Genomic DNA, 13,067 nt, shown 5'->3' with positions numbered 1-13,067 from the left:
GTTACGGGTTACGCCAGTGCGGCTGTGACCCTTTGCCTCTTACCGTGATCTTTGGTCAGCTTAGCTGGGAGTAAAAAGCACTCAATTAATGAACCCTTTTTTTGAGCCAGTGCACCGCGGTAACTGTAGAAATCGATAAAATAATTTTGAGTTTGAGGAATTGAACGGCATACTCCCAAAGATGAGCGCCACTTAGCTCTCGAATCGTAGCCTAGCTGTAATCGATTTTCTTAATTGGTGTAATTGTTCTCTAAAAGTTGAAATGTGCCCGGGAACTGAGTAACTGCCTTGTATTTCATTTTAAAAATTCGATCGAATGCCTACTATGTGCTGGGCGCTATTGTCAGGAGATATAATAGGAAAAAACACAAATCCGTATCCTCAGGGAGCTTCCATTCTGGAAGGAAGACACAAAAATCTGCCCTTTCCTCTTATTTTTTTCCTTTAGCTTTGTGTCTCACGTATTTTACTGATTTACCTCGTTTTGTCTGTCACTCCCAATGCAAGGTTCAAAAGATTCAAAAGATAGGATTTTTGTCTATTTTATTTTCAGCTGTATTGTCAGCAACTAGGACAATACCTGGCACATGATAAGAACTGAGTTCGTTTGCAGTATGAATTAATAAACTAAAAATTAAAGGTGTGCAAGTGATGTTAAACAATGGAGAAATGCAAAGTGGAGGAAGATAAGAGAATGGATGCTGGTTGTGTTTTTTTTTTTTTTTTTTTTTATTGATCATTCTTGGGTGTTTCTCGCAGAGGGGGATTTGGCAGGGTCATAGGACAATAGTGGAGGGAAGGTCAGCAGATAAACAAGTGCACAAAGGTCTCTGGTTTTCCTAGGCAGAGGACCCTGCGGCCTTCCGCAGTGTTTGTGTCCCTGGGTACTTGAGATTAGGGAGTGGTGATGACTCTTAACCAGCACGCTGCCTTCAAGCATCTGTTTAACAAAGCACATCTTGCACCGCCCTTAATCCATTCAACTCTGAGTGGACACAGCACATGTTTCAGAGAGCACAGGGTTGGGGGTAAGGTCACCGATTAGCAGGATCCCAAGGCAGAAGAATTTTTCTTAGTATGGAACAAAATGAAAAGTCTCCCATGTCTACTTCTTTCTACACAGACACGGCAACCATCCGATTTCTCAATCTTTTCCCCCCCTTTCCCCCCTTTCTATTACACAAAACCGCCATTGTCATCCCGTCCCGTTCTCAATGAGCTGTTGAGTACACCTCCCAGACGGGGTGGTGGCCGGGCAGAGGGGCTCCTCACATCCCAGTAGGGGCGGCCGGGCAGAGGCGCCCCTCACCTCCCGGACGGGGCGGCTGGCCGGGCGGGGGGCTGACCCCCCCACCTCCCTCCCGGACGGGGCGGCTGGCCGGGCGGGGGGCTGACCCCCCACCTCCCTCCCGGACGGGGCGGCTGGCCGGGCGGGGGGCTGACACCCCACCTTCCTCCCGGACGGGGGCTGGCCCCCCCACCTCCCTCCCAGACGGGGTGGCTGGCCGGGCGGGGGGCTGACCCCCACCTCCCTCCCGGATGGGGTGGCTGGCCTGGCGGGGGCTGACCCCCACCTCCCTCCCGGATGGGGTGGCTGCCGGGCGGAGGGTCTCCTCACTTCTCAGATGGGGCGGCCGGGCAGAGGCGCTCCTCACATCCCAGACGGGGCGGCGGGGCAGAGGTGCTCCCCACATCTCAGACGATGGGCGGCCGGGCAGAGACTCCCCTCACTTCCTAGATGGGATGGCGGCCGGGAAGAGGTGCTCCTCACTTCCTAGATGGGATGGCGGCCGGGCAGAGACGCTCCTCACTTTCCAGACTGGGCAGCCAGGCAGAGGGGCTCCTCACGTCCCAGACGATGGGGGGCCAGGCAGAGGCTGCAATCTCGGCACTTTGGGAGGCCAAGGCAGGCGGCTGGGAGGTGGAGGTTGTAGCGAGCCTCGATCACGCCACTGCACTCCAGCCTGTGCACCATTGAGCACTGAGTGAACCAGACTCCGTCTGCAAACCCGGCACCTCGGGAGGCCGAGGCTGGCAGATCACTCGCGGTTAGGAGCTGCAGACCAGCCCGGCCAACACAGCGAAACCCCGTCTCCACCAAAAAAGTACGAAAACCAGTCAGGCGTGGCGGCATGCGCCTGTAATCGCAGGCACTCGGCAGGCTGAGGCAGGAGAATCAGGCAGGGAGGTTGCAGTGAGCCGAGATGGCAGCAGTACAGTCCAGCTTCGGCTCGGCATCAGAGGGAGACCGTGGGGAGAGGGGGACCGTGGGGAGAGGGAGAGGAGGGAGAGGGAGAGGGCTGGTTGTGTGTTTTTAATGTAGTGGTTGGGGAAGGCTTCACTGGGTAGAAGACATTTTAGCAAACATCTGAAGGAGGTGAGGGTGTGAGCCTTTCAGATCCCTGGGAGAAGAGCGTAAGGAACAGCAAGTGCACAGATCCAGAGACCAGAATGAGGAGCAAAATAAGCAAAGGAGAGTGCTGTCAAAGTGGTGATAAAGGACAGATAATGTAGTGCCATGCAGGCCATTCTGAGGGGTTTAGCTTTTTTTTTTTTTTTTCGTTACAGAATCTCACTCTGTCGCCCAGACTTTAGTGCAGTGGCGCGATCTCGGCTCACTGCAACCTCCACCTCCCGGGTTCAGGCGATTCTCCTGCCTTGGCCTCCCGAGTAACTGGGATTACAGGCACCCGCCGCCACGCTCAGCTAATTTTTTTGTATTTTTAGTAGAGACGAGGTTTCACCATGTTGGCCAGGCTGGCCTCGAACATCTGACCTTGTGAATCACCCGCCTCGGCCTCCCAAAATGCTGGGGTTACAGGCGTGAGCCACCGCGCCAGGCTTTTTTTTTTTTTTTTTTTTTTTTTTTGAGACAGAGTCTCGCTTTGTTGCTCATTCTGGAGTGCAGTGGCGCAATCTCCGCCTCCCAGATTCAAGCCATTCTCGTGCCTCAGCCTCCCAAGTAACTGGGATTATAGGCCCATGCCACCATGCCCGGCTGATTTTTGTATTTTTAGTAGACACGGGGTTTCGCCGTGTTGGCCAGGCTGGTCTGGAACTCCTGACCCCAAGTGATCCCTCCCAAAGTGCTGAGATTACAGGCGTGAGCCGCCATGCCTGGTTGGAGGGCTTTGGCTTTTATTAAGTGAACCGTGAAGCCACAGCTAGATTTCGCGTTGAGATTCAACTTCAAAGGATCACTTTGGTTGCTGTGTTGAGAAGAAACTGTAGGGGGCCCAAAACAGAATCAGGAAAACTGGTTAAGAAGCTATTATAATAATCCATGGGAAGGATAGCAGTTTGGATCAGGTAGTATTATTACTGATGATGAGCAGTGGTCCCTAGAAGGCCCTTGGGATTTACTGAGAAGTTGGATATGGAGAATAAAGAGTCAAGCTGGACCCCACGTTTTTGGCTTAGCAGTTATAAAGATACTTATTACTGCTCATGAATGGGAAAGACTGGGAAGAAAGGGATGCAAGGGATTCTAGGGGTATAAGGGAGAGGTTAGAATGGTAGACCATGGAGTGTAAACTGGATATGGAGGAAGTGAAGTCATGGGGAGTGAGAGACAGTGAAAAGGTGGTTGGATCATTGACTTGTGGGTCCTGTTGGGGTTGAAGAATTATTGGAATTGGGTAATAGAAGGAGTGAGATGCAAAGATAGGAGGTGGTGCTTAGAGAGTAAAATGGATGAAACTGAGATGAGGAGGTCCGATGTATTGATAATGACAATAGGGCCCTGTCTGATAGAAAAACAGTGTAAGGCACAAATGTAATCTTAGGCTTTCTAGAAGGTGCAGTGATAAAAATGGGCTGGGTCCGGTGGCTCACGCCTGTAATCCCAACACTTTAGGAGGCCAAGGCAGGTGGATCACCTGAGGTCAGGATTTCAAGACCAGCCTGGCCAACATAATGAAACCCCGTCTCTACTAAAAATACAAAAAAATTAACTAGGCATGGTGGCAGACACCTGTAATCCCAGCTACTCGGGAGGCTGAGGCAGGAGAATCGCTTGAACCGGGGAGGCGGAGGTTGCAGTGAGCTGAGGTGGCACCACTGCACTCCAGCCTGAGTGACAGAGCGAGACTCCCATCTCAAAAAAAAAAAAAAAAAAAAGAATTTACTCAAAGAGAATAAAAAGAATCCAGGACTGTAGACAAACTTCTAAAATATTTTATAGTTTCTTCAAAATTAAGTGGTTCAACTGGCATGGCATAGTACTAATTAAAGGTGAACTACAGTAGCCAATTGGACTAGAATGAAGCACAGAATGCGAGCTTTTGAAGGGATTTTGGAAGCAGCAGGTTCTACCTCCTAAATATCACTGTGAATCATCTTTGTCCTTATCCTGAAGAGAGGTAGTAAATACAAGGTAGTGGGTAAGAGTGTTGACTTTGGAATTGGGAAAGCCTGGGTTTTATTTTAGTTACATCTCTGCAGCTTCTTAACGGTGAGCACTTAGCCTCTTTAAACCTCAGTTTCCTAATCAGTGAAATGGGATCATTATGAGGTGAAGCCGAGCACTTAGCATGTAGAAAGCGCTCAGAGTGATGTCAGAGTCTGTCTTGTTTCCTCCTACATATCATCACCAAAAATTTGTTTCATGAACATGCATTTGACCGTGTGACTCTGAGTTAAAAGCTCAGCTTTCTCCCCACCTGTAGAAACTTTTTAGGATGACTTTATATATCCTTTGGTGATCTGGCCATCGGCTCTTTTGGTCCTTACCTCCTGCAGCTCACTCCTACCTCCCCGAGATGGGGAGATGAATAGGACTCCATGCCTGGGGTGTTTAACTTGCTGATCCTTCTGCCCTTTCAAGACTCAGTTCAAATGTCACCTCTGTGACAATGCCACACTCTTCACATGCTCCTTTCTCTGGACTAGAGCAATTTGTGCATCTCGTTCATTTTCCTCTGCTAGACTTTGAATTCTGAGATCATTGATTCATCTATCTCTAGCACCTAACATATTATTTTTAAAAAAAGAATTATTGATTACTACGGTCTAACTTTTTTTTTTTTTTGAGACAGAGTCTCATTCTGTCGCCCAGGCTGGAGTGCAGTGGGGCAATCCTGGCTCACTGCAACCTCTCCCTCCCTGGTTTGAACGATTCTATATCTCAGCCACCTGAGTAGCTGGGATTAAAGCCACTATGCTTGGCTAATTTTTTTTTGTATTTTTAGTAGAGATGGGGTTTTGCCATGTTGGCCAGGCTGGTTTTGAACTCCTGGCCTCAAGTGATCCCCCCAGCCTTTAGCCTCCCAGAGTGCTGGGATTACAGGCGTGAGCCACCATGTGTGGCCTACTATAGGCTAACTTTAAAATAACACATTTCATACTGTAAATAAGGGGGAAATTCTGTTTACCTTGTCTGGAATGTTCATGTGTGTATCTGACATGCCTCGCACTCCCATGCCCAGCCCCAAGCTGAAAAGCACCTTCGCCTTCTAGAATCAGCTTAGATCTTTCTGGGAACCTTTCCTGATTTTTTTTTTTTTTTTCCTGAGACAGAAAAAGGGCTGGAATGCAGTGGTACAATCATGACTCACTGCAGCCTCAGTCTTCTGGGCTCAAGTGATCCTCCCACCTCAGCCTGTGAGTAGCTGGGACTACAGGCATGAGCTGCCATCACACCCAGCTAATTTTTAAATTTTTGTCATTTTTGTAGAGATGAGGTTTCACCATGTTGCCTCAGCTGGTCTGGAACTCTTGGACTCAAGCGATCCACCTGCCTCAGCCTCCCAGTGTGCTGGGATTACAAGTGTGAGCTACAGTGCCTGGCCAGCACAGATTTTTATATACTTGATATGCTAATGAAGTAAATGAAGTGGTCCCATCACTATTTTTTTTAAGGTTCTTGTTATGTCAGTAGCTTTATAATCTTGTAATCTTCCAGGAAGAAGGCCAAATGTTGCTAAAGGCAAAGTGGCAGAAACACTGTACTTATATTTTTAACCTTGTTCTTTTACTAGAATTAACTTAGAATGTATCTGTTTTACAAATTTTTCTAACAGAAATATGCCTGCTACCTAGGGAAATATTATATATGTTTTAAACATTAATTTAAAAACTTGAACTTTGAATTCCTTTTCTTTTAGCTTGGGATGTGGTAATGCCAGCCACACTCCTCAGAGCCGTGGCCAGATCTCATCATATATTATCAAAAGCACATCAGTGCCGAAGAATCGGTCATCTAATGTTAAAACCACTTAAGGAATTTGAAAATACAACATGCAGCACACTGACAATACGTCAAAGCTTGGATTTGTTCCTTCCTGATAAAACAGCTAGTGGTTTGAATAAGTCTCAGATCCTGGAAATGAACCAAAAAAAGTCAGATACCAGCATGCTGTCTCCATTAAATGCTGCTCGTTGCCAAGATGAAAAGGCACACCTTCCAACCATGAAATCCTTTGGTACTCACAGGAGAGTGACCCACAAACCAAATCTGTTGGGTTCTAAATGGTTTATAAAAATATTAAAGAGGCATTTCTCATCTGTATCAACGGAAACATTTGTTCCAAAACAAGACTTCCCACAGGTGAAGAGACCACTAAAAGCATCCAGGACCAGACAGCCATCCAGGACCAACCTTCCAGTTCTGTCTGTGAACGAGGTAAAGTAGGGGTGGCCGTGGCTCTCGTGCTTAGTGATCATTGCTCATGCTAAACCAGTGTGCGTTGCACCCCAGCCTTACCGCCAACGTAAGAGAACTAGCAGTCACTCAGACTTCTTCATCAAGGTCTTTGAAGCCTAATAAATATCCAAAGGGATTCAGAATCTTAATTTTTAACAATTAATGATACATATAAAAACAAAATACAGGTGATAACACATGAAAATAGAGTTTATAAAAGATTTGGTTATTGGTCTAAGGAAACTGAAAAAGAGGACCAATATTAAGTCCAGTCTAAGAATGGGACTGTAAAAAAAAATAAAATAAAAAAAAACAAACTAGAAATTCTTCATCAAGTTAAAAAAAATTGTAACTCTGCAGACAGATAAGCCTTTATTAGGCTGTGGCAGTTGCATGGGGCGGTGAAATGACACGGTAGGGTGGACTCCAAAAGCAGCAGGAGAGGAGGGCCCAGCTTTTTTATCCTCTTAAGGTTTAAGGGGGTATTTTTTATTCATCCTTAAGGGGTTTCTGGGAATTTTTCTGCTACAATTTGCATTTCTCCTTCAGTAACAACTTAAGGGTCAAGATCAAGCCCTTGATAACCTTTGTATCTTGCATAATACCTAGAACTGTACCTTGTACTTAAATGTTTATAAGAGGATCTTTAATGCCGATAGTCATCAACTTTAAAGATATTTTAAACTTGATGAAGACTTCTGAATCTATCAGAAAACAGGTTAGAATGTCTGTCTTCAAGTCTTGATTCTGAAAAGTAGCCCCTGAGCCTGTTTCATTTTGGCTGTGTTTTTATTACTGTGCAGCTGACACCCCTTGGAAAGGTATACATACATACCTTTACTCATCCTCTGATTCTGAATCTAGCAATGAATGAATGGTTTTTGTGTTGGATTCTGGAATGCTTTCAATTCTTGTGTGGTTACTCTGAACTCAGGACGTGAAGGATGAAGTGTTGTGCAGCTACTGTTTCCCCTTTCCTTTTGCTGGAGCTTTGGGGTAACCTGGGAAATTCAGTATTTAAGTGTCCGAGATGGCATTAAGTGTAAAAACCTGAATTCATGGCAGCTCCAAAAAAGAGAAAGCTCAACTCACTTTGTTCATTTGTAACGTCTAGCAGCACAGTGCATCAGGTTTCTTAGGAAGAAGCTGATAGGTCAGAGATGTCCCTAGGCTATTTCTTTGGGCCATCCTTAGACTTGGAAGCAATTTTCCTAAATACCGTATCTATTTTTCTTTAGATTTTTTTTTCTACTTCCTTCCAGGAAAGAATTTGAAGTAGATTTTCAACATTCAACATAGTTTCAAATGAGATAATAAATACTTTCACATATTAGAGCAAATAGTTGACATGAACAGAGAAATGTTATGAAGTACCTGAAATGAATAATCTAGTTGAACATTTTGTTTTGAGAAGCGCAGTAATTAAAAGAGGAACTCCTCCTGGGATTTAGTGTTTGTTGTTTATTGTTGTGGGAGAGGGCAGAGTAAAAACATAAAAATATCTTCAGAGAAATAACTTTTTCCAGCACTGAAATTAAGGAGTTAGTTATTTCATGGATTCTGTTATAGGAGACATTATGTAACATGATAGACAATGACTTCAGTTGGAGTTTGGCAAGAGCAAGTCGCATGCTGTCTTTCTGAAAGCACAGGGAAATAATAGAAAATCAGATGTTTCTGGCTGGGCGGTGGCTCACAGCTGTAATCCCAACACTTTGGGAGGCCCAGGCAGGCGATTACTTGAGGTCAGGAGTTCGAGACCAGCCTAGCCAATATGGTGAAACCCTGTCTCTACAAATATACAAAAATTAGCCAGGCGTAGTGGTGCACACCTGTAATCCCAGCGGCTCGGGAGGCTGAGGCAGGAGAATCTCTTGAACTCGGGAGGTGGAGGTTGCAGTGAGCTGAGATCATGCCACTGCACTCCAGCCTGGGTGACAGAGTGAGACTCTGTCTCAAAAAAAGAGAAGAAAATCATGTTTCTAAAGTGGTCTGAGATAATGTAATTTTGGAACATCATTTTTTGAAGATTTTACTTTTCATAGAGAAAGCAGTCTTGGCATGACTAGGTAATATGTCCCCAGGACCAAAGACTGACTTTCCTCTGCCCGAAATTGAGGGCCACTCCATTTTTATACGGCCATCATAGTGGTAAACCCTTTATACCACTTTATACCATCAAAATGGTAAACCCTTTATACCATTCTTGACTGAGACAAGGAAAAGACTCTGCTTTGTGTCAGAAAGCATGTGGACTTTATTTTGTTCCCATAGTTGCACCCAGCTCATCTTTTCAGCTCTGCAGAACAGCGTGCATCTGGAGTTGGCTGAATGAGGTTTCAGTCACCCTGTCTGTTGGAATTAAATCTTTACCTGGTCTCATTTTCAGAGATCATAATCTGAGATACTCAACCCACATCCCTTTGGCTTACAATTCCTAAAAGCAATAGTGGATCCAGTGGCTTATGCCTATAATTTCAGTGCTTTGGGAGGCTGACACAGAAAGACCACTTGAGGCCAGGAGTTGAAGACCAGCCTGGCAACATAGCAAGACTCCCATTTCTAAAAGACTTGGAAAAAAAAAAAAAAAAAAGCCGGGCTTGCTGGTGCGCAGCTGTAGTCCTAGCTACTCAAGAGGCTGAGGTGGGAGGATCGCTTGAGCTCCAGGGTTCCAGGCTGCAGTGAGTCGTGACTGCACCTCGCTCCGTCCAGCCTGGGCGACAGAGTGAGGCCCTGTCACTAAACAAACAAGAAAACAATAATAGCAGTGCTTCTTGTTAATGTCCAGTCTTTGAAGAGAACAGCAGAGGATGGGAACGGCAGGTCTGAGTGGCATGGAGCCCGACACCAGGGAGAATGTTTTCAGGCTAATAGCACTGTGTTACAGAATCACTGGTGGACTGTTAACCATTTTTTTGAAAAATGAAATAGAATAGAAAATAACAGAATACATTGCTCATGATAAACGTAAATACTGGTTTGTGAAGCTTTTGTGGCAATTGGTGTGTAAGCATATATGTGTATATGTACTATGTTTAATGATTTATAGGTTGTAGTCAGAAAAACTTACAGGATAAAGCGTGATCTTGGTAACGTAAAATGTATCTGTGTTTTTATAGCTTTAATCTCCAATCAGTATGTTACAGGAGAAAAGGCATTTTTCCTTAGTATGATCTATCTACTCACAGTACTTCTGACATCAAATATATGGGGACCTCTTCCTCCTCCTACCAGCCAGTTCTCCAATTCTCCAGACACTAACAAGGTGTCCTGCAATTCAGTTCAATTCCAGCACTAGCCAGAGTTAGTGCAGACGCCAGTTAGTTAAGCTCAGCCCCACAAGACTGCCCTCCCAGTTGACACCTGTGCTTCTGACCAACCAGCTCTATGACAACCATCCCCTCTTCAGGTTTGATTATTTGCTAGAATGGCCCACAGAACTCAGGGAATCATTTTATTTATGTTTACTGGGTTTTTTATATAAAGTATGCAAATGAACAACCAGATGTAGAGGTGCACAGAGTGAAGTCAAGAAGGGCCTGGAACTTAGGAGCTTCTGTTCCTCATAGAACTGGGCTGTGCCACCCTCCTGGCACATGGATGCATTGATCAACCCAGGAGTTCTCCAGACCCCATCATCTGGGTGTTTTTAATGGAGGTTTCATTGTGTAAGCCATGATTAATGATTAACTCAATCTCCAGCCCCTCTCCGTCCACCAGAAGTTAAGGGTGAGGCTGAAAGTTCTAAGCTTCTAATCAAAGTTTGGTCTTTCTGGTAACCACCCCCCATCCTGAAGCTGTCCAGGACCCACTGAGAGTCACCTCATTAAAACAAAAGATGTTCCCATCACTCGTGAAATTCCAAGGGATTTTTAGAAGCTCTGTGTTAGTAACTGAAGGCAAAGAGCAAATACTACAACCAAAAATGCCCCTGTCACTTAGAAAATTACAGGGGTTTTTAGGAGTCTGTACTGGGAACCAAGGACAAAGACCAAATGTAAATGTATTATATCACTATAGAAGCAACATTGCTGTAACACACTAATTTTCTTCAGTAATACAGTGTAAATGAAAGTATAATTTTTAAAAAAATGTTCTGATCAGAGCATGCGATGCTCCTAAAACAAGAATCATATGTAGATTTCTAGCCCCATCTGCTGGAACATGTCTTCTTTGGCCAGAAAAACAAAACATACTAAAATACAGTGGTTTGGGGTTTTTGCTTTTTGGGTTTTTTAAAACATTTTGAAGTAGAAAAGCCCTGAATATCATAACTATTATCGGTTGGTTTGACACATCTATTTAACAGGAAGGTGTAGATCCCCATCCTGAAACCCAAAATATGCTTTACATATATATGTAGCTAATGCTTAATAAGGATTCACTGTAAAAATCCAGAAAAGGATGTATAAAAATGAAAGCTGCTCAGAAAACAACAGCATCTTTAATAAAGAAAAAAAAGCAGACAAGACATTCCATGATTCTCTTTCCTTTTACCAAATAGGCTAAAATAAAAAAAGCAAAGAAAACAAAACCAAAACAAAGTGTCTAAAACGTCAAGTTCATCTATTAATAGAAGAAACCCACAACTAAGACTCAGAGCTAAGAAGTTTAAGGAGAATACAGAAAGTAGTGTAGCAAACCATATAAGCTGAGTGACATTGGATAGAACTTTGAGCCAAACTAAATGGGAGATCCCAAGAGAAGGAAAGGGGACAGTTGACAGTCTGGAAAACCTACAACAAAGATCCTTAGGATGGCCAAGTGAAAACAGATTGTGTTTAAAGATTTATTCATAATTTATTTGGAGCTTAGAATATATTTTCTCATAAAAATAGTGATTGACTTGTCCTGTCCTTGAGAGTTGAAAATAGTACACATTCTCAATTTGCCGTTAGTGTCGGAATATTCACATAATTTGGGATACCAGATTGCCCAAAACTCAGTTCTGAATATATTGAGCCTTTTATTTTTATCTCCAAGTGGCGGTTTTTAAAACTGACCTTTTACCTTGATTTAAAATAATAGTGCCTGGCTGGGCATGGTGGCTCACGCCTGTAATCCCAGCACTTGAGGCCGAGGTGGGCAGATTACCAGAGGTCAGGAGTTTGAGACCAGCCTGGCCAACATGAAGAAACACCGTCTCTACTAAAAATACAAAAATTAGCCAGGTGTGGTGGTGCATGCCTGTAATCCTAGCTACTCGGGAGGTTGAGGCGGGATAATCACTTGAATCCAGGGGGTAGAGGTTGCAGTGAGCTGAGATCGCACCACTGCCCTCACGCCTGGGCGACAGAGGAAGACTCCGTCTCAAAAAATAATAAATAGGCCGGGTGCGGTCACTGATGCCTGTAATCCCAGCACTGTGGGAGGCCGAGGCGGGAGGATCAGATGAGGTCGGGAGTTTGAGGCCAGCCTGACCAACATGGAGAAACCCCGTCTCTACTAAAAATACAAAAATTAGCTGGGCGTGGTGGCGCATGCCTGTGATCCCAGCAACTCGAGAGGCTGCGGCAGGAGAATCGCTTGAACCGGGGAGGCAGAGGTTGTGATGAGCCAAGATTGCACCATTGCACTCCAGCCTGGGCAACAAGAGTGAAACTGTCTCAAAAATATAATAATAATAAAGTAAAAAACAGAATAAAATAATAATGCCTGCCACCGCCATTAACAGACCTTGTACTCTAATGCCAAGCTGTATATGGGACAGTTGCCAGCATGTCTTCACTGGCACTATAAAATATAGCCAAGAAGATAGGCTCTGAGAGTAAGAAGTCTGTGTTGGTTAGGAGTAATTTTGTCCTGGCTCTCTGGTATAAAGCTCTCAAATGTAAATCCGGGTGGGATAATGGACTCAGCTCTGTCTGCAACATGCCACTGTGCAGAGAAGCACTCTCATGCATAAGCTTTTTATGCTGTAAACTATAGTAGCTGAAATTAAATGCCACTTTTTCAGAGGTGAATTAATGGAGAGCCTGGTGAAATTCAAAGCTTTTTGATGTATAAAACTTGATAAATGGAACTATTCCATCAATAGGCGAAGTATAACAACCTGTCTACATAGATAGTATGTAATTTCTGCACAGGTCTCTGTTTAGTTAATACATCACTGTATATCAATCTAGAATCTTGCTCCAATAAAGGAACATAAAGTTGTGTTTTGGTTTTGTTTTTGTTTGAAACGGAGTCTTGCTGTGTCGCCCAGAGTGCAGTGGTGCAATTTTGGCTCACTGCAACCTCGGCCTCCTGGATTCAAGGGATTCTCCTGCCTTGGCCTCCCAAGTAGCTGGGATTACAGGTGTGTGCCACCACGCCTGGCTAATTTTTGTATTTTTAATAGAGCCAGGGTTTCACCACGTTGACCAGGCTCGTCTCGAACTCCTGACCTCAAGTGATCCATCCGCCTCAGCCTCCCAAAGTTCTG

At 44.6% G+C, this 13,067-nt stretch overlaps 1 protein-coding gene across 5 annotated transcripts in view, besides 1 other annotated feature; it reads left to right on the top strand.

Moving 5' to 3' along the window:
* The window catches only part of RMND1 (required for meiotic nuclear division 1 homolog), a 47,365-nt gene that overhangs the window by 197 nt on the left and 34,101 nt on the right, over window positions 1-13,067 (top strand). For 3 of the 5 annotated variants that reach the window (XM_047418959.1, NM_017909.4, XM_047418960.1), the window contains exon 2: window positions 6,105-6,622. The exons of the other annotated variants lie outside the window; for them this stretch is intronic. In XM_047418959.1, coding sequence (XP_047274915.1) covers window positions 6,119-6,622 — 504 coding nt within the window. In that variant the 5' untranslated portion in view covers window positions 6,105-6,118. The remainder of the gene's footprint in view (window positions 1-6,104; window positions 6,623-13,067) is intronic. 5 annotated transcript variants of the gene reach the window in all.
* Window positions 27-76: an enhancer, noted in NCBI's record as "active region_25282". NCBI's record gives its function as "activates an Ori minimal core promoter by ATAC-STARR-seq in GM12878 lymphoblastoid cells {active_cell/tissue: GM12878}" and the evidence as "EXISTENCE:reporter gene assay evidence [ECO:0000049][PMID:35858748]".

This window comes from Homo sapiens, chromosome 6 (assembly GCF_000001405.40).
Source record: "Homo sapiens chromosome 6, GRCh38.p14 Primary Assembly".
Classification (NCBI taxonomy): Eukaryota; Metazoa; Chordata; class Mammalia; order Primates; family Hominidae; genus Homo; species Homo sapiens.
This window is presented reverse-complemented; position numbering and strand designations above follow the sequence as displayed.